The sequence below is a fragment of the Homo sapiens genome, chromosome 1, assembly GCF_000001405.40.
Source record: "Homo sapiens chromosome 1, GRCh38.p14 Primary Assembly".
Taxonomy (NCBI): Eukaryota; Metazoa; Chordata; class Mammalia; order Primates; family Hominidae; genus Homo; species Homo sapiens.
In genome coordinates, this window is record NC_000001.11 from 187622318 (window position 1) to 187642435 (window position 20118).

General features: G+C 38.7%; 1 pseudogene, besides 3 other annotated features; it reads left to right on the top strand.

Moving 5' to 3' along the window:
• Nucleotides 8180–9379: an enhancer, noted in NCBI's record as "MED14-independent group 3 enhancer chr1:187599629-187600828 (GRCh37/hg19 assembly coordinates)". NCBI's record gives its function as "activates an origin of replication core promoter dependent on BRD2, BRD4, P300/CBP and CDK7 cofactors, and independent of MED14, by STARR-seq in HCT116 cells {active_cell/tissue: HCT116}" and the evidence as "EXISTENCE:reporter gene assay evidence [ECO:0000049][PMID:35650434]".
• Nucleotides 9835–12714, top strand: LOC100967224 (neuroepithelial cell transforming 1 pseudogene; annotated as a pseudogene).
• Nucleotides 15440–15939: an enhancer, noted in NCBI's record as "H3K27ac hESC enhancer chr1:187606889-187607388 (GRCh37/hg19 assembly coordinates)". NCBI's record gives its function as "activates a minimal SCP1, AML or CMV promoter by ChIP-STARR-seq in naive H9 embryonic stem cells {active_cell/tissue: H9 hESC(naive)}" and the evidence as "EXISTENCE:reporter gene assay evidence [ECO:0000049][PMID:30033119]".
• Nucleotides 15949–17148: an enhancer, noted in NCBI's record as "MED14-independent group 3 enhancer chr1:187607398-187608597 (GRCh37/hg19 assembly coordinates)". NCBI's record gives its function as "activates an origin of replication core promoter dependent on BRD2, BRD4, P300/CBP and CDK7 cofactors, and independent of MED14, by STARR-seq in HCT116 cells {active_cell/tissue: HCT116}" and the evidence as "EXISTENCE:reporter gene assay evidence [ECO:0000049][PMID:35650434]".

Genomic DNA, 20118 nt, shown 5'->3' on the forward strand with positions numbered 1-20118 from the left:
CATGGTAGATGAGGGGGAAAAAAGTAAATTCACTTAAAAGGGAAACTTCACTCACCAAGAGGTAAAAAGAATGTATGTACAACTACATATAAAGATATATAGATATTATCTAGCTATTTAGCAATGCTTCTTTAATAGCATGCAACAAAGAATTGTCTTTCAGTAGAATTCCATCATCATCATCAACTCCCATTCTCAAGTTTCCTGCTGCTTTTAGAAAGGCACATGAAACCTGGCTACGGGGTATATTTTCTAACCATACTTATATCAAAAATTGGCTAGCTGACTAAATTCTGGGCAATGAGAGGCAAAAAGAATTAATATATGCAACTTTCAAGTTTCTTCTTTATGAAGAAAGCTATTTGTCTTTCACTTTCTCTTTCCTATTATATTCTGAAATATAATTGTGGTAAAGGCAAGAACTTTTTCCACCTGGAGTGGTGAAAGACAATGTCTCAGAAAATGGTAGAGTAAAAAAAGGGATTTGCATATTCATACATACAGCATATCTCTATATATGCACATAATAGGATATTAATATGTTTGTTACTTGCATATTGTTTCATTGGTTGTGCTCCCCACAAAATTAAAATATGTATTTTTTTGTAAAAATTTGTTATACTCTATCTACATAGCAGATTTATTTCAATAAATGTTGTTTTAACTTCTTGATTTTGTCAGGCAATAAAAAAGCTCTTATTAATCATTATTTCTTGATGTAGTATGTTTTCAAAATATTGTTTGTGATCATTTACTAATGCCTTATGTTCATATTGTTTCTGTTCTGAAAAATGCTGAATTTGGATACAAATTCAGAATAGTAAAATTATTAAGACTTCTTTTTATGCCTAAATTATTTTTTTGCTTCCTGGACTGCTGAGCAATAAAATATTATTATTATTATTTGAGACAGGGTCTTGCTCTGTCACCCAGACTGAAGTGGCACAATCATGGCTCACTGCAGCCTCAACCTTCTGTGATCCTCCCATCTGAACCTCCCATTTTTTTTTCTTTTTTTAAGGGTAAGAGAAAGGGTAGGGAAAACAAAAGTAATATTTTAATATTCTCTAAATTTTAATGACTTTAAAACTATTGGGAGAACTCTTTTCTATACTATTTATAAGGTAATAAAATACTTTACTGGTTTTAAAAAAATTCTCATATTTAAGAATAAAACCTAGTATAACTGTCTATAAAATAATTATTTCCATATATCCAGTTTTAAACATTATTGTCAATCAGAAACTATCTATGGGATAAATTAAAGGCCCTGGAGTTATGTTAATATCCTCATGATTCCTTTCCCATCCCCAAATCACTATCACTGTAACAATCTGAAACCAGCAATCTCCTTCCTCCACTTAAGGAACAAAAATCTCTCTATTGGTTAACCTCTTAGAAAATTATCTACACCCTATTCAAAACTTCTGTAGACTCCATGGAATAATCCTGATTCAATTTTGTTACTTAATGGATCATATTGAAAAACCCAAACTGGGAATTGTTCAGCAGACACTATTATCACAGATTCAAGTTTATTTTTTAAATATTAGCTCCCAGGAATTAAATCAATGCCAATGGCTAGGGTAAATGCCTTCTACTGAGCCTACCAGGTAGCAAAACAAAAAAGAACTGTTATTTATACAAATGTTAAATATGCTCTAGAATGCTTTGGTCTTTTTATTTTTCCTTTTATTTTCAGTATGGATTGAGAATTTTCTTTGCTGGTAAATTGTATTTTACTGGAACTTTTATTCAAAAATGTTGAACACCTTTTCAACATTAGAGTAAATGGACTTTTAAAACCAAAGTAGAGACTAAATGGACTTCCAAAACCAAAATTGGCAAAGCTATAAGAAGTCTAAAACTGCATTTGTCAATATGGTGGCCACTACCCACCATATGTGGCTATTTAAACTCAAATTTGAATTAAACTTAAAATAAAAATCCAGTTCTACAATTGCACCTGCTGTATTTCAAGTGCTCAATAGTTACATGAGGCTAATAGCTGCAATATTAATTAGCATAAGTAAGAATATTTTCTCAGTATGAAATGTTATATTAGAGAATACTATCTAGAACTTTCATTGCTTTCTATTAGCCTTGATGCTATGAGATTTCTCTTTATGAGCTAAGAAAAGACTACCTCATACCCTGTTATAATCTCATGTTTGATCAGAGATGCTATCCTACAGCAAGCCAATATAGATACAAACAACTCTTATCTTATACAAACAAAGTCTAATAATTTAAGCCAGAAAAATAGAGCTTTTTTAAAGATAGCCGCATAAACAGCTCCTGTACAACCTGAGGTGTGGGGAAAGGAGAGAGAGAGAGAGAGAGACAGATCCATCCTTCAGCCTCTATGGAAAGTACTTTGTCATACTATTAATAATGATCGCTAAGAAAAACGTTATTAGTATTGTTAACAATTCATGATAATTTATACAGCACTAAAACTCCAAGAAATCGATCTTTGGATTTATTTTTTCCAATTAAAAAGACATAGCCATCTTTTCTGCTTCATTGGGCTTGAACACTATTGGGAGACTTCCAGCTGAGTAGCCTTCAGAACCTCCAGAAGCCAAGTAGCCTGGGAGTTATGACCAAGACTCCCTTAACATTCCCTTTAGTTTTACTAAACTTATTAGATAGCTTTTTTCCGGACACTAAGCCCCCAACCTTCAGTTTCCTAGTCATATACATTATAAAACTTTCATTCAAAAATCCCTTGTCTGTCCCTTTAAAATGTAAATCTTTTTAAAGCCTGCTGCTAGTTTTACAATCCAGGAATGTCTTTCTGAAGAACTTGGAAGCAATTTCTTTCAAATGCAATTATTGAAGGAGATAGACCTCCCAGTCTCTGTGGGAGCGTAAGAGCCTAACTTTGGTAGGCCCCTTGATCCAACTTGTCAACTTGTCTCTTGTCATGAAGATAAAATAAAATTTAATTTCTGTTTGAGTAAAGCAAATTAGTAAACACCCAAGGCTGGCCTAAGATTCTCCCTACCCTAGCTCTTAAAAACTCTTTATGTCATCACCACCACAGAATTGTGTAACCAGTCTTGGTATGTGCTTTCTCCCCTATTGCTGCAACAGTATCAGAATAAAATCAATTTCTGCTTACTAATCTTGTTCAGTGTGATTTTTCTTTTCCAATAGATAGCTGATTCAAAATATCAGTTTAGATGACAACACAAAGTAGGTAATTTTCAACCAAGAAGTTGAGTTAATATGAATTTTCCAATACGTTTATGCTTTTTTCTCTTTTCTATAATACTATTCTTGTCTGTTACACTTCTATGCTCTCTGGTAATCAATTAAAGAGTTTTCAATATGCTCTCCTGTACTTCCACCCCCATAGTATTTTAACTGCCACTTAAAAAAAGACAAAACTTTTATTGGTTTTGTTTTCCTATCATAACTACTGATCTGAACCTAATGATTGCTGATGTGTCAGTCTTCACCTGATCCTGCTGCTCAAAATTCAACTAATGTTCTTTAAATTCTTCAGAAGGTTGATTTTCTTCTTCATGTTCATTCAAGTACTTACATTTTTCTTTCATTATTAATCCAACTTTTAATTTCATTATAAGTAGATTTTGATCCCTTGCCAACAAAATGCTTCTAACGAGATCAGTACAGTCCTTTCATCAAAACTCAGTTTTGTAAGAGTGGAAACTAATAGTGAAGTGGCTACACTGTCTGGGGTAGATACCAGGGGATCATTGTCTCATGCCAGGAAAATTTAGAACACAGACACACAGGAGAGGTTTAGAAGTGGAGGTGTAATAGGCAAGAAGAGAAAGAAAAAGGAAAATAGCTCTCTCTCCAGTGAGAGAGAGGGGACTTCCCAGAGGAAAAGGCCAGCCAGTGGTGGATGAGCCAGATTTTATAGTCAGGTTTCAGGAGGTGGTGTCTGATTTACATAGGGCTCACAGATTCGTTCCATCAGTTATGATGTTTACATAGTGCTTGGGGAAGGCTGGCTGCCCCACCCTAATCTTATTATGTAAATGAACTTTCCCCATTGGCCGGGACCGTCTTGTCTGCTCTTTACTGTACACACAGCTGACAAAGAGAAGGGAAGATGGAACTGCGATCTTGAACATGATTGGCACAACTACCAGCATCTACGTCTGCAGCTTGATTTTACAGGCTGCTCTTTGTTAGAAAGGAAAATAATTTGGGGCTGCTTTTTGTTTGACAAAAGGTAAAGGAAAACCTTACTGAGGACTTCTGTACTCTCACTATCTGCCTAAGTAATTTCTTCTTAATTCCCCTATCAATAGCAGGACTATCCTTTTATGTCACACTCAGCTTGTTACTTTGTAAGTTCTATTTAACTTCACTCAGAAAACCTGTTCTCATTAAGGTACACAAGGTTGTTTCCCCTGTTGCCATAAATGGTTTTTATATTCCTGATACATTCTGTATCCTACAGTACTACTTATTCTACAAACACCAACTTTTCCCTGAAAACCCAACAAACCAGTCTCTAATTCTCAAGTGTTACCAGGTACCATTACATTAGCCCTTGATTTTCTTTTGGCTAGATGAGAAAGCATGATATAGCAAAAACTTCTTGGTGCCCCATATGGAACGGTCCATGAACAGGCCAGTTAAAACAAAAATAAGCAAACAAAAACACTTGGCTGTGTGCAGTGGCTCACGCCTGTAATCCCAGCATTTTGGCAGGCAGAGGCGGGCAGATTGCTTTGAGCTCAGGAGTTCGAGACCAGCCTGGGCAACATGGCAAAACTCCATCTCTACAAAAATTACAAAAATTAGATGGGCATTGGTGGTTCGTGCCTATAGTCCCAGCTACTCAGGAGGCTGAGGCTGGAGAATTGCTTGAGCCCAGAGGCAGAAGTTGCAGTGAGCTAAGATTGTGCCACTGTACTCCAGCCTGGGCTACAGAGTGAGACCTTGTCTCAAACAACAACAGCAGCAACAACTTGACTCTGAAAAAAACCCATCTGAACCGTGGAATATGGTTTGTAGTCAGAGTTTGGTCATCTAGGTCTCCGGCTTCTATTATGAAAACTAATACTCATTTTGTTTCTGGTAAAGGCCTGTACGGCAGTTAGCTGATGAGTTCTTCCCAGAGTCCTAAAAGTTACTGTGTAGCCATTATCAAATTAGTTTGATAACTTATCCTGAAACAGGAAAGACTAACTTTAGTTCAATTAGAGAAAATATTACCTGCACAGCTTTTTGATTAGCAAATTCTCAACAATCCCTTACAGCCTAGCTTTCTCAGCCCTTGGCCCAAAGACTTACCAGGACAGGAAAAACAAAAAAAGAAAATAAAGGAAAGAAAGATAAAGAAAAAAAGAAATATCCCTGACAGCTGTCAGCTAACAGCTGACCCGGTAACTACCAGTCAGGCCGTGGTATTCCCCTGATGAGCACAGTTGACTGCATACAATATTAGCATCTGATGAGAACTCTCTGCAACCATGAAGACAATTTCATGGTCATGACTGAACAAAGATAAAAACAAACTCTATTTAACTACTAAATATTACCAAAATCTCCAGTTTCCAATTTATACAAGTGACTGCTACTTCTTTCATGATAACTCTAGCCTCATCTGCTTTTCTTGACCCTTACAGACAAGATCCCATACACCAATTTTTTGGTAGCACCCAGTCCAGAAGGGACCCCATCGTCCTTCAACATTCTGCTAAATTAAATTCTGTAATAACAAGCCTTTTCTAACTCCCTTTAATCAAGGTGCCTCAATGTTTCACCTTGTGATATGGCTGCCTCTTTTGCCACAGTAGACTTAATAAACTTAACTCTTTTTTTTTAATCACAGGTGTACTTTCTAGTAGTCTTTGGCTTTGAAATTGGCAAGGTACTATTCTAATTCTGGAAACTGATGTAGAGAGGCTATGTCACAATTCCTAGGTTACACAACCAGCTAGGGGTAAAAACAAAATTCAAACACAGAGTGTTTGGCCCAAGACTCCATGCTCTTAAATTTATGTTGTCTTCAAATGATGGAATATAAGCAGAAATTATGTCAACTCAGTTCTATTCAAGCTGCCACTACTGAAAACATGAAGCCAAATAGTTTGACATATTTAACTCAAAGAGCTGTGCAAAATAGATAATCCAGTAGTTCCCGTGTACATTAGTTCAAAAGGCTTTAGCAATTTATCTAACCATTTATGATTATATCTTTTTCATGAAATTACAACTCATTCTATCACCTGAGGTCTTAACAAAATTGTAAATGTAAAGAAAATCAGTTTTACAAAAATACAAATATGTTATATCTTTGCAGTCCTGTCCTCTTTTGTCTTTATATGAATATGTTCTGTATGGAAGAATTTATATACAAACATACCAAATAAGAGAGCAGAAAAAGTAGAAAAAGAAAAAGTTTGGCAAAAGTGAATCTGTGTGGTGTCAGGTACATTTTATTTGGCTACATTTAGTAATGGCAGGCTCAGAAGAAATCTGCAAAACAACTGACAAGAAATGTTTAATCTTCATTTTTAATATTAATTTCTTGTTCTGCTTTATTGCTTTATATTTTATGAATTTTATTTTCTGTAACTCCCCAAGATATAAAATGATTATATCCTAGAATAAATATTTCTCATCCATAGAAAACAAAACAAAAAAAAGTCGTGTGCAACCCTTAGGGTCAAGCAATTGATTAAAATGAAAGACAGTTATGAATATGCTATGGAAAGCATATTTCCTTTTAAGTATTTTTTTTTTGAGCAAATTATGGCTCTTTTGCTATACTTTCAAGGCATACTGACAGGGCAATTAGTAATCTGAACTATCAAATCCATTTGGAGATAATGGAGCTTATCAATTCTTGTGTTATAATTGCTTTTCAAAGCCCCTCCCCATGCCTGTCTTTTCCCCCACATCACTTACCCAATACACTTAATCCTATTTAAATAGCAACATGTCAAACATGTCTGCTAATCAACTGGCTGGCAACCCCATGGAGATTTCTGCAGTTTTAAGCACTGTATTTCACTGCATAAGGATTTTTCCCAAATATTGATTTTTGGTTTTCAAGGTTACTGATGATGTGCTCTAGCACATTAATCATTCTAACCACCTTAACAAAGAAGCTCATTAAAAAGACAAATACATTTATCAAGGAAATCATCAGGCAGATTATATACTTTCCGCCCATAATATATTATAACTGAATAAATAACTAGGGTATTTTATAATTAAATATGCAGAACACTTAAGATTTTAATATTCATATCCTTTACTGAAGAATGGGGATGGATGAGGTTTTGTAACATATAATTTATATGGTACAACCTAGCCACAATTATGTGGGTTAAAAATAGGACTACTGCTTTGAGTATACAAACTAGATAATGTTTTGACATGATGATGAGACCTTAAATACAAAGACATTTGAAGTTCAAAATACTGGAAATTTAACTTAAAATTTCTGTAGAACAACATTTTAGTATCTATTTCTAGAATCTAACAAATTCATAGAGTCTGCCTTGGAAATAAGGCTTTGGGGTGGGGAGATACAGCTAAGCAGTCATTTGCCCTCCGGCCTCACTGAAGCTGGAGTGATTATTCCTTCTGTGAGCCAAATAATACTTTAAAAGCTTGGGAAGGCCTAAGGGGTCAGCTTTGTCTTATGTTCCAATCCTATTTCCTAGTATTTCTCTCATCAACCTACCTCATACTAATCTGAGTTTTAGTTGGAGAAGTTTGCTTTTCCTTCTCAGGGTCTCCAAATTAATGGACCACAAATAATCTTGAATTGTAGCCTGCAGGCAGAAAGGATCTCTCTTAGCAATTTCAAATTTGATTTCATTATTTTTGTTTTTAGTTTCAAGATATCTTGCTTTCTAGTAGAACCTTACTAAAACATGTACAAAATAGCTTGCACACACAGTTATCCTAAAATTGTTACTATAAAATCTACCAGTGCCACTTTACTGAATCCCAAAGAAATATATGCTACAATTTCATTAACGTTTTTGTGATCATTAATAAGTCTTGCTGACTTCAGTGGCTGGCATCAAAGTAAAAATTACACCAGACAAAGTGAAGCAGGCAGGAAAGACTATTCAATGCTATTGCAACAGAAAAGAAAGATTAGAACTAAGCTGGAGCTCAATTTGGGTAAAACAAAGAGCAGGAGAGTTTTTAAGAGATGGTAGTTGAGCATAGAAGGGAAAGGGAAGAGTCATAGGCCATCTGTTTGCTAATTTGCTTTACTCAAAGGAAAAGTAAATTTTCTTGTACCTTTATAACAGGAGATAGTTTACATCTTGGAATAAGAAGCCCACCAAAGAAAGACACCTGCCCTTCCACAGAGACTGGGAGATACAAGTTCTCTCCTCCTTGTGCTTACATTTCAAAGGGATCAGTGTTAGATACAGTTAGGTTCCCTCTTGAAACAGCTTATCCGGTGTCCTTGTTCTCTATCCTATAATTCCAAATACCTCTTTGCCTTTGCTATGCCTCAGCCTGTCTGAATATGCCTAGGCATGCCTGAACTTGCTACAACCCCAGTGCACACTCCTTTCCTTATTAGGGAATAGGTTACCTTCCTAGTACCTCCGTAAATGACCCCCTTTCTCTCTCTTCTCATCTCCCTTACGTGTCTACCTTATCTAAGAATTAAGCCAATTGGGACTAGTTTAGACTGTGCGGTCCAACCCTAGCCAACACGTGAAAGACACAGAAGCAGAAGCTGCATTAGAGATAATAAAAACCCCTGCTTTCCTTTGTTCTGTGTGCTCTCACCATTGCTACATACGCAAGATGCACCCTTCTGCAGAAGTAAATTTGCCTTGCTGAGATGTTCTTTATCTAAGTGCTTGTTTTCTTTGTGACTCTGAGCTCTTATTCCCAACAATTTCGTGGCCCATACAGGGAAGCCACTCTTCTCAGGGGAGGGGGTCTTCAGTCCTCACTCGTGAGGAGACGCGTCCCATTGCCTCATTGTGGTGGCCTCAGGGGTAAAGTTTCAAGACTCACCCAGTGTGAAGAATAAACCTGGACTCTCAGGAATGCAGGAGGAAAAGGCCTACAAATACCGCGACGACCAGGTATCTCTGTGCACAGACCAAGGTAGGAAACACCGCAGGAGCCAGCAAAGTATTTCCTTTGTGGTCGGGATGAAGGTAAAAAAAAAAAAAAACGCAGGAGTGGTGAAGTATTCTTTGGTCGGGACATACCAAGGCAAGAAAAGCTGTGCGGGTGGTGAAGTACTCCTTGGTGGTTGGGATTTCTTGGAGGTTGAAAATGTGTGAAAGGCAGAAAATTCCTAGTATGAGGGATTGAGCCTCAGTAAGCCTCCAGAGAAGGATAGGCAAGAAATTCCTAGTATGAGGGATTGAGTCTTAGAGAGCCTCCAGAGGAAGATAGGCAAGAAATTCCTAGTGCAAGGTATTGAGCCTAACCAGGACCCAACATGGGAAATGTCCCAAGTAAAACAAGGAGTAAAAAGGATAGAAATAATAACAATGATACCTGTTAGCCCCCTAGGTCTTATGTTAAAATACTGGAAAGATAATGAAAGGACTAGACACAAGAAAAAAACAACAAATAATAAAATATTGTTGTTTCATTTGGACTCAAGAACTAATCCTCAAACCCTAAGTCTTCTGGCCAAAGTTGAGGTCAAATGAGGCTTGGATTTGTCAGCTTGTAGTTCGATTTGTGAATAGTAAAATTCCAGTCTCCCAAGAGGAGGTAGGCTATGCCCTCTGTTGACGGGAGGGGCTGGTCCTCCTTTACCCCCTAAAGACTACAGGAAGTAAGACAAAAGCCAACTCCTTTAAGCCACCTAACACTCCTGACCCTAACCTCCCTCCCCCTTAGGCCAAGGCAGTCTGCCCAAGCTGCAGGGCCTGCCAGAGCTGTCCAAAGAGTGTGAAGGGAACTGCCACTCTGCTAGGAAACTCCCACCCCAAAGGACGGCATCCACAGTTTCCAGTGTTACTCACGTAGAAGTTGATGAAAACGCTTAACAAAGGTGGGTCTGGCATGCAGATGGCAGAAGACAGCAAGATCATAAAGACACAACAGACACAGCCTGTCATCCAGAGAGCGAGGGACAAAGCCCAGTCTAGTGGCAAATGGAAAGAAACTTTAGTGTAGAAAAGGCTCTGTGTGTTTACTGGTGGAGAGACTGTTTGTTTATAAATGTGCACTTTTATTTCCTTATAATGAAAGCATCATAAGGTTACTTTATACCAGCTGTAACATTTTCATTGTTTTAAGTTGTCTTTTTTTTTTAATAGCAGCTAAAGATGTACAGATATCTGTTAAATTGCAGTTCTTTTTTAAAAAGATATTTTCTTGAATTATTTAGAACATGCAAGCCTGGTATTTTTAGTCAAGCAAAATATTTATGAAATAAGTTTTCTCTTATTTCTATTCATGATGGCTTTCTAATACCAATTGTAATATTTACAATATTCCCCAAAACTTAAAATTTTGCAAATACTGGAATTCTACCAGTGTTTCTTTGATAAGCCTTGCAGGCAAAATTTGAAATTTTAGCATTGGCACTCAAAATCTACATGGAATGTATGTTTAGAGTATTTCAAAATTTACATTGAATCATAACTTCCTTAGAAAACAAACTATAAGCCGGAGTAGGTTTTTAATTTTATCAGCTGGAATGCTTTATATTAGTTTGTTTTTCACTGTACATTCCTATTTTACATTCATTTAACCGGCTGATTAATTTTTTAATTGTAAAGTACTTTTTAGCATTTGCTTTTTGTTTTTTACTTTAATGCTTTTTCAAATTGGCAGGTGTTTAAATAATTTTTCTTCCTGAATAAAAATGTGTATGTGTCCAAAAGCAATGGCAACAAAAGCCAAAATTGACAAATGGGATCTAATTAAACGAAAGAGCTTCTGCACAGCAAAAGAAACTACCATCAGAGTGAACAGGCAACCTACAAAATGGGAGAAAATTTTTGCAACCTACTCATCTGACAAAGGGCTAATATCCAGAATCTACAATGAACTCAAACAAATTTACAAGAAAAAAACAAACAACCCCATCAAAAAGTGGGCAAAGGACATGAACAGACACTTCTCAAAAGAAGACATTTAGGCAGCCAAAAAACACATGAAAAAATGCTCACCATCACTGGCCATCAGAGAAATGCAAATCAAAACCACAATGAGATACCATCTCACACCAGTTAGAATGACAATCATTAAAAAGTCAGGAAACAACAGGTGCTGGAGAGGATGTGGAGAAACAGGAACATTTTTACACTGTTGGTGGGATTGTAAACTAGTTCAACCCTTGTGGAAGTCAGTGTGGCAATTCCTCAGGGATCTAGAACTAGAAATACCATTTGACCCAGCCGTCCCATTACTGGGTATATACCCAAAGGACTATAAATCATGCTGCTATAAAGACACATGCACGTGTATGTTTATTGTGGCATTATTCACAATAGCAAAGACTTGGAACCAACCCAAATGTCCAACAATGATAGACTGGATTAAGAAAATGTGGCACATATACACCATGGAATACTATGCAGCCATAAAAAATGATGAGTGCATGTCCTTTGTAGGGACATGGATGAAATGGGAAATCATCATTCTCAGTAAACTATCGCAAGAACAAAAAACCAAACACCACATATTCTCACTCATAGGTGGGAATTGAACAATGAGAACACATGGACACAGGAAGGGGAACATCACACTCTGGGGACTGTCGTGGGTTGGGGGGAGGGGGGAGGGATAGCTTTAGGAGATATACCTAATGCTAAATGACGAGTTAATGGGTGTAGCACACCAGCATGGCACATGTATACATATGTAACTAACCTGCACATTGTGCACATGTACCCTAAAACTTAAAGTATAATAATAATAAAATTAAAAAAAGAGAGAGAGAAAGAAAGAAATAAAAAGAAAGAGAGAGAGAAAGACAGAGAGAGAGAAAAGAGAGAAAGAGAGACAGAGAGAGAAAGAGAAAGAAAGAAAGAGAAAGAAAGAAAGAAAGAAAGAAAGAAAGAAAGAAAGAGAATGAAAGGAGTTAGATGGCATTTCTCATATATTTGCTTATATACACATACTTAGGCAGAGAAAAGGGGTCCAAGGAGACAGAGAGAAAAGGGTCAAGAACTCAGTCAATTCTAATTCAGAAAGAACTCAGAAAGAATATAAATTTCTGTGCAGAAAGAAACAAAGTTGGGTGTCAAGAGACTTGGCTTGTAGACCTTGACCTGTCACAAACTTACTGTAACTTTGTACAAATCATTTCTTCTCTGAACATTCATAAAATGAAGCCTGGATGATTGCTAAACTTTTTGTATTTTGTTTGATAATTAGCTCTTTTATGCAATAAAGTAATAAATAATATAAAAAAGTGTGTGTGTGTGTATATATATATATTTTAAAAACACATTAACTTTACCAAGTAAAACCAAGCCATACTCTTTTTGAGCCAATTAAGAAAATTGCCATTTTTTTTTAAATGTAGCATTTCAGGGTAAAGACCCATGAAATGACTTAGTGGATTCTAGACTACTGAAAGAAAGCCACCTCAAAGATTTTGTTAAAAGTTTTAGTGTTGTCTGAAAAGCAAGAAGAAAAATGAATGGTAGTAAGTTAAAAGAAGAAGAGAGGAAAAGAGAGTAGTTTTGTCTTCAAGTAAAATGTCTGGTTGTGCCAGACATTTCACAAGTGTAAAAGGAAATAGGAGAAACTCAAAAAGTATATGTAAGAAGAGAGAAAAGAGAAACTGGGAGAGGGAAGAAGGGAGAAAGTGAAAAGGGAAATTACAGAGAGAAAGAGGAAGAGGCTGAGTGTGAGGGAGAGAGGAAACAGGGTTTAACAGACAGAGAGAGAGAGAGAGTGCAAATGAGATAGAGACTCAAGGAAGAAACGCTGTGAGTCTGGAAATGAAAGATTTGGACAGAAACAGAAAGATTAGAGGGAGAAAATGAATGAAAGAGAGACTGGAAGAGACAAGAGATCAGAGAGGGACACAGAAAGTGAGACTGGAGAGAGTGTAGAAGGAAGAGAGAGGAAGAGACAGGAGACAAAGAGATGAAAAGTCCGAGTGAGCAGGTGAGGAGAGAGATTGAGAACTATTGGAGACAGCAGCTAGGACACAAAGGAGGCGGGGGGCTGCCTGAGTGCTGCAGCACCCACACCATCCTCTTTCTCCCTGTCACTGGGACCCCAGAGCTGACCCTTGATGGAGGAGAGCCAACCTCGCAGCAGCCTGAGCCTGGCCAGCAGCGCCTCCACCATCTCCCCACTCCGCAGCCTAAGTCCCAAGCTACGTGTAATGCAGTTCTCAGAGTCTATGGATGTATAAAAATTTATATTCTGGCAAAACAAGTTAGAGATAGTTGCCTAATATGTAAACAAAACAAAACAAAACAAGGCCAGGCATGGTGGCTCACGCCTGTGATCCTAGCATTTTGGGAGGCCAAGGAGGGCAGATCACGAGGTCAGGAGATCAAGACCATCCTGGCTAACATGGAGAAACCCTGTCTCTATTAAAAAATACAAAAAATTAGCTAGGCATGTTGGTGGGCGCCTGTAGTCCCAGCTACTCGGGAGGCTGGGGCACCTGGGAGGTGAGCCGAGATTGCGCCACTGCATTCCAGCCTGGGTGACAAAGCAAGACTCCATCTCAAAAAACAAGCAAACAAACAAACAAAAAAAACAAAGAAAAAAATGAATAAGCAAACTCTTAAGAAGGTCACCCTTTGGAGGAAGGGACCCAGGATTAAAACCATTCCAAAGTGTCCAAATTGATTGCACCAAAATGCCCCCAAATAGGTCACCTAAAGTACCTACTAGTGATAGTAGATCACCTGACTCACTGGGTAGAGGCTATTCCCTTTTCTAGTGCAACCACCAGTAATGTAGTTAAAGCATTAACTGAGAATATTATATCCAGGTTTAGATAAATAGAAAATACTGATTCAGATAATAAGACTCATTTCACTGCACATGTCATTAAGAAATTAGCCCTAGTACTAAACATAACATAGGAATACCATACTCCCTGGTACCTTCATCAGGAAGAGTATATAGAATGAACCAAACTCTAAGGAGCCACTTAACCAAATTAGTTTTAGAGACTCCTCCCCATTGCCTTGTTAAGGCTCAGGGCCGCCCCTCGGAAAAATGTCAGCTTATCCTCTTATGAAATGCTATGTAAGTTGCCTTATTTACACTCCACTGCTGACATTCCTACATTTAAAATGAAAGATAAATTTCTCAAAACTATATACTTGGTCTATCTTGCACTTTCTCGTCCCTCTGAACTAAAGGCCTTTTAGCACAGGCACCACCCCTGGAGTTCCCAGCACACCTGCATCAACCTGGAGATCACGTTCTCATTAAGAGCTGGAGAGAAGAAAAACTCGAACCGGCTTAGGAAGGTCCCTACCTAGTGCTTCTAACTACTGAGACCACAGTCTGAACAGCAGAAAGAGGGTGGACTCACCATACCCAAGTCAAGAAAGCGCCACCATCTTTAGAGTCATAGGCCATTGTTCTGGGATCAAGTCCCACCAAACTAAAGCTAAGAAAAGACTAATCGTCTTATATCTCTTCTATTGTCTCTTCTTCTTCCTTCACTCCACTGTCAGCCACCTTACTATCAATGTAAACCAGGTCAGCCTCCCTCCCAAGCTATTGCGTGTGATACTTACTTAGCCATACCCTGTGGAGACCTACAAAGTCAAAGGCAACTAGCCTCTTCAGAAAAATATCTTTGCCCTTAGTGCTCACCTCATTCTCAACCTAATCCTTGTAAAATTCCTTATAAATGGCTACGGTGCTATTCCTGGTACAATATTCTCTGGACCACTCAGTCCTAGGGCTAGGCTTCCTCAGAAGGCTGTACCTCCCTAAAACCTTACCTTCATTTTACTAAAGGAACTACTTCCCCTGATTGCCAATCTCACCAAAGCAACCCCATCCTCATTTGCATTACTATCCCTACCTCTGCTGACCCTAGGCCCGCCCTCAGCCACCTCTATGGTATAGGGCCGATGTTAACGGAGAGACCCTATAGGCATTTTTGAGATACACTTTGTTTCCCCCCCTCCTCCTTCTCCATCCCCAATAGCTTCAGCTTTGAACAAAACACCTGTTATTCCTGTACCTAAAGATAAAACCAAGGTGTTCGTTATAGAAGTAAAAGATCTAAAACAAACCCAGCAATTAAGACAGGATACCAAGATATAAATGCCTTGCTAGAATGGATTAAATATTCCGTCCAAATCCTAAGCGACTGTTACACTTGTGCGCATGTTAGACCAGAGGCCCAGATCGTCCCCTTTCCACTTGGACAGTCTCCCCACTGACTGGGCGGGAGCTGTATGGTAGCTCTTTTTCAAGATCCCACAGCCTGGGAAGACAAATTGTGCCAAGCTCTTTCTCTGCTGTTCCCAGAAGTTCAACACCCTGCAGGTCAGGCCCCAAAGGCCATCCAGCCTCCACCTTCCAATGCCAAGTTTACCTCGTGTCTCTCACGACAGGGGGAAAACAGCGTTCCTCGGAGAGTTAAAGGTATGCAAAGAGCTTAGGCCCTTTCAAGAGCTTACCCATCAGTCAGCCCTTAGCCATCCCCAAGTGGATGTATGGTGATATTGTGGTGGACCCTGCTGGACACTCTGCCAAGTAACTGGAGCAGAATTTGTGATCTAATTCCATTGGCTATCCCTTTCACCCTGGCATTTCATCAACCAGGGAAAGTAAAAGCAAAGTGCTGTAAACTGAGAGAGACCCCTCATGAGTCCTTTGATCCTCAAGTTTATATAGATGCCATCAGGATTCCACGAGGACTGCCAAATGAATTTAATGCTTGAAACCAAATAGCTGCAGGGTTTCAATCTACATTGTTCTGGTGGGTAGTATTAATAAAAATGTAGATTGGATAAATTACATTTACTATAACCAGCAACGATTTGTTAACTATACCAGAGATGCCATTAAAGGAATAGCTGAACAATTGGGACCCACCAGTCAAATGGCCTGGGAAAATAGAATGGCATTAGACATGATAGTAGCAGAGAAAGGTAGAGTTTGGGTCATGATCAGAACCCAGTGTTGTATTTTCATCCCTAACAACACAGTCCCCATTGGGCCAATTACAAAGGCTTTGCAGGGCCTTACCTCTCTATGAGATGAATTGTCTAAAAACTCCAGAATAGATGACCTCTTTACAAGCCTCATGAAAAAGTGGTTCGGTGGGTAGAAAAAGCTAGTAACTTCAATAGTCACCTCCCTGACAATTGTTATAAGTGTATTAATTCTTGTTGGATGTTGCCTCATACCCTGTGCTCCAGGGTTAATACAAAGACTTACTGAGACAACTCTCTCCAAAACTTTCCTCAATTCTCCCTTGCCTTATTCAGATAAGCTCTTTCTTTTAGAAGATCAGGCAGAACAACAAAGTCAAGATATGTTAAAAAAGGTTTGAAGAGAAAAAATTATAAATATCAAAAAGGGGGAAATTGTTAGATACAGTTAGGTTTCCTCTTCAAACAGCTTATCCAGTTTCCCCATTCTTTATCCTATAATTCCAAATACCCCTTTCCCTTTGCTGTGCCCCAACTTGTCTGAATATGCCTAGGCATGCCTGAACTTGCTACAACCCCAGTCCACATTCCTTTCCTTATTAGGGAATAGGTCACCTTCCTAGTCCCCCGTAAATGACCCCCTTTCTCTCTCTTCTCACCTCCCTTATGTGCCTACCTTATCTAAGAAACTTTAAATGTTAAGCCAATCGGAACTAGTTTAGACTGTGCAGTCCAACCCTAGCAAAAAGGGGAAAGATACAGAAGCAGAAGATGTGTTAGAGATAATAAAAACCCCTGCTTTCTTTGTTCTGTATGCTCTCACCATTGCTCCATATGCAAGACACACCCTTCTGCAGAGGTAAATTTGCCTTGCTGATATGTTCTCTGTCTAAGTACTTGTTTTCTTTGTGACTCCAAACTCTTATTTCCAACAATGAGCCTGGAGTCTGTGACTGTAGTCCCAATTGCTCTGGAGGCTGGGGCCAGAGGATCACTTCAGCCCAGGAGCTGGAAGCTGCAGTGAGCTGTGATTGCTCCACTGTACTCCAGCCTGGGTGACATCCCAAGACCTTGTATCCAAAAATGAATGAATGAATGAATGAATCAATCAATCAATCAATCTTTTTTTTTAAATTAGAAATAAAAGGGATATCTCTCATGTCCTTGAGAAAGACATTTCTGGGTTGTAACATTGGCAGGAGACTTTCTAAATGATTCACATCTCGAAGGGAAAGAATTTATAAGTGTTGTAAAGTTAATGCTTTAGGAAATAGGGAGTCCAGTGGCCTAGAGTCGGAAAGAGGCCTCTTTAAACATTAGTTGATCTGATTAGAATATTAAGGCTATCTTAGTTCCTGGTTAAGTAGCTATTCACTTCCTCTGCCCTACTTCCCAACTTGGCTCACATTTTAGGGTCTGTTTCTTATAAAAATACAATAGATCAAATTTGGTTTTAGAATTTTTTTTTTTTTTTTACAGTTAAGACAACTCAATCTAAATTGGTTTAGTAATGAATTAATTGGTGGATTTAAAGACTTGGACAATGAAAACTTCCAAAGATAGGCTAATTTTCAGGCTTAGTGGATCTGCTGTCTTTGTATTTGCTCCATTCTCTGCCTGACTTCTCCCACGGTAGGAAGAGTGTTCTAAAAGCAACAAGCTTATGTGATCATTCTGACAGAGAAGAGGGTGTGGTGGGCGGGAGGTTTTTAAAATTTCAAAGAAACGTTTTGAGCTTTACATTGATTGGACCACCCTTGAATTAGAATATGGCAACGGTGCTCTCCAAACACTGGTTCATTTCTGACCCAGTAACTGCAGTAATGAAGACAGAATTTTCATGAAGCTAAGGGACTCTCTGGAGTGAAGGGTAAACTTAATCCATGTAAACCTCTTGGTTGCTACAAAATGGGGAAGAGGAGAATGAATTCTTGAGGTGCACATGGGGTAGGAGAAGAGGATGAGGATATGGTATCTTCTACTACTACTAGGATATGATTGTCAAGTAATCTTGTTAAGCCTTGACCAGTGCTACAGTACTACAATCCACTAATAAACAGGATTTTGCCACATGATAACATATGGCCACCTTAAATGCAGCTTTACTCAAACTGAAATTATTCTCTCTTACTTATTCCTCTTTAAAACTGCTCCACTTTGCTATAGGGTCACTCTGGGGTATATTTTAAATCTAAAATCTATCAGTTACTAATTGTGTGATTGAGAGTAAGTTGCTAAACTCTCTCACATTCTATTGTTCCTTTTATAAAATAGAAATTAAAATATCTCTTTGGCAGAGTATCATGAGAATGAAAAGAATCAACATTTTAATGTGCCTAATTCTCTGCCTGGCTTATAGAATAAATTTATTTAAAGTCACTTACTTTCCTTTCCTTCCCCTTGTCTACCATAACAGGTTAAGCCCATGTGTCTGGATTTTCAGTTACTTCAGCATCTCAATTAATATATTCACTTAGTGAATTCAACAGAATTTCTTGCCTGGTCCTCAGTGTATGCCATGTGCTTTCTTAAGCCTTTGCTCAGTCTGCCTTCAGTACATGGGAAGTCCTCTGTCCATTTCCATCCCACATTTCTGAGCCTTGGTTTAATCTTGTAAAAAGAAAAAAATAATACCTATTTCATGGGTTGTTGTCAAAATTAAAGGAGACTCTCTAGAACTTAGACAGCTACCAATATATGGAAAGTGCTGTAATTATCATTACTGTACCAGATATTTTATACCCTGGGCCCTGGTGAGACAAGCCAGATGGGAGGGGAGTCCCTGGAAAAACTCCAACCGGCCAGTGCACTGGGGTGGAGCCTCAGGAAATGTGTGCCCTTTGCAGCAAAGAGCGTGGTTCCTCCTCTTCCTGGGTGTAAACTGCGATTCAAAAAGCCAGGTGGGAAGCCCTGTAGTAGGGACTCTGGCTTTGTCCCTGTTTCCCCCTTTTCTTCCTCTTCACCCACTAAAACCCTGTTTTACTCACGGTTCAAATTGTTTGGCAGCCTGAATTTTCATGGCCATGGGACAAAGAACCCCGTCTTTAGCTGAATTAAGGAAAAGTTCTGCAACATTTTTGACGTGCAACTTGGGGGCTCAAGCGGAGAAGCGGTGAGTGAAATGGGGACTCAAAACCTCTCACTGTTGCTTCTAAACCTTTTATCTTTGGACTTCAGAGGGTGGAGGAAACCATGCCCCCACCCCTATAGCTGCCGGGCGTTTCCATGGCCTTTTCCTTTTGTTTCAGGACGGATCAGCAGCTCCCTGCCACTGTCCCCTCCCTGCCAGGGCTGGGACACATGGCTCAAGGCGCTGCAGAAGGCTGGCTGGCGTTTTCTACCATGTGCCCATGGAATCTCCTCCCACAGTCAGGGAGCCCAGCTCCAACCCACAGCAATTACACTTCTCCCCCTGGTGAAGGAAACACTTGCATAAGAATAAGAGGTTCTTCCACAGGCATTTTAAAACCTTTTTTCTTTCCTCTTCTCCACAATATCAGCATTTAAGTTTAAGCAAGTTTTTTTATTTCTAGAAGACATTTTACTAGGCAAGGAATGATAAGAATCCCTGTGTATATTCTCTATTAAGCTTTAATTGTGAAAAAGGATTTGTAGGGCTAGTCTTGGGCTGTGGCCAATCTGGTATGCTTCCTGTGTCTGTATGGTTTGTGCTGTAAGCCTCCATCTTGTTTTACACATCCTGGGGACATGGCCCACAACTGCTTGACAGGACTTTGTTTAGCAGTCCTGCCTTAGGGGATCAGCCCTCTCTGGCCAATATCTGCATGTTTTCCTACTCCTGTCTCTTAAAGGGCCCCACCCAGCGACTGGATTTTCTTCTGCCTCTCTGTGTGGGTACTGTGTGTGATATCTGTAAAAAGTGCGCTAATTAATTTGGCCTAAAGAAAGACAAGAACTTGGATCAAATTTTTTTTAAGGGAAGTTAAAAGCTGTGGTACCTTTCAGTTCACATGACTTTAATCTCTGAGAAATAAAAACAGCCCTAAAGACTATTGGTAAAATGCAGGTGAGATGCAAGGTTTTCTAAGTGTTTTGAGGTTAAAAA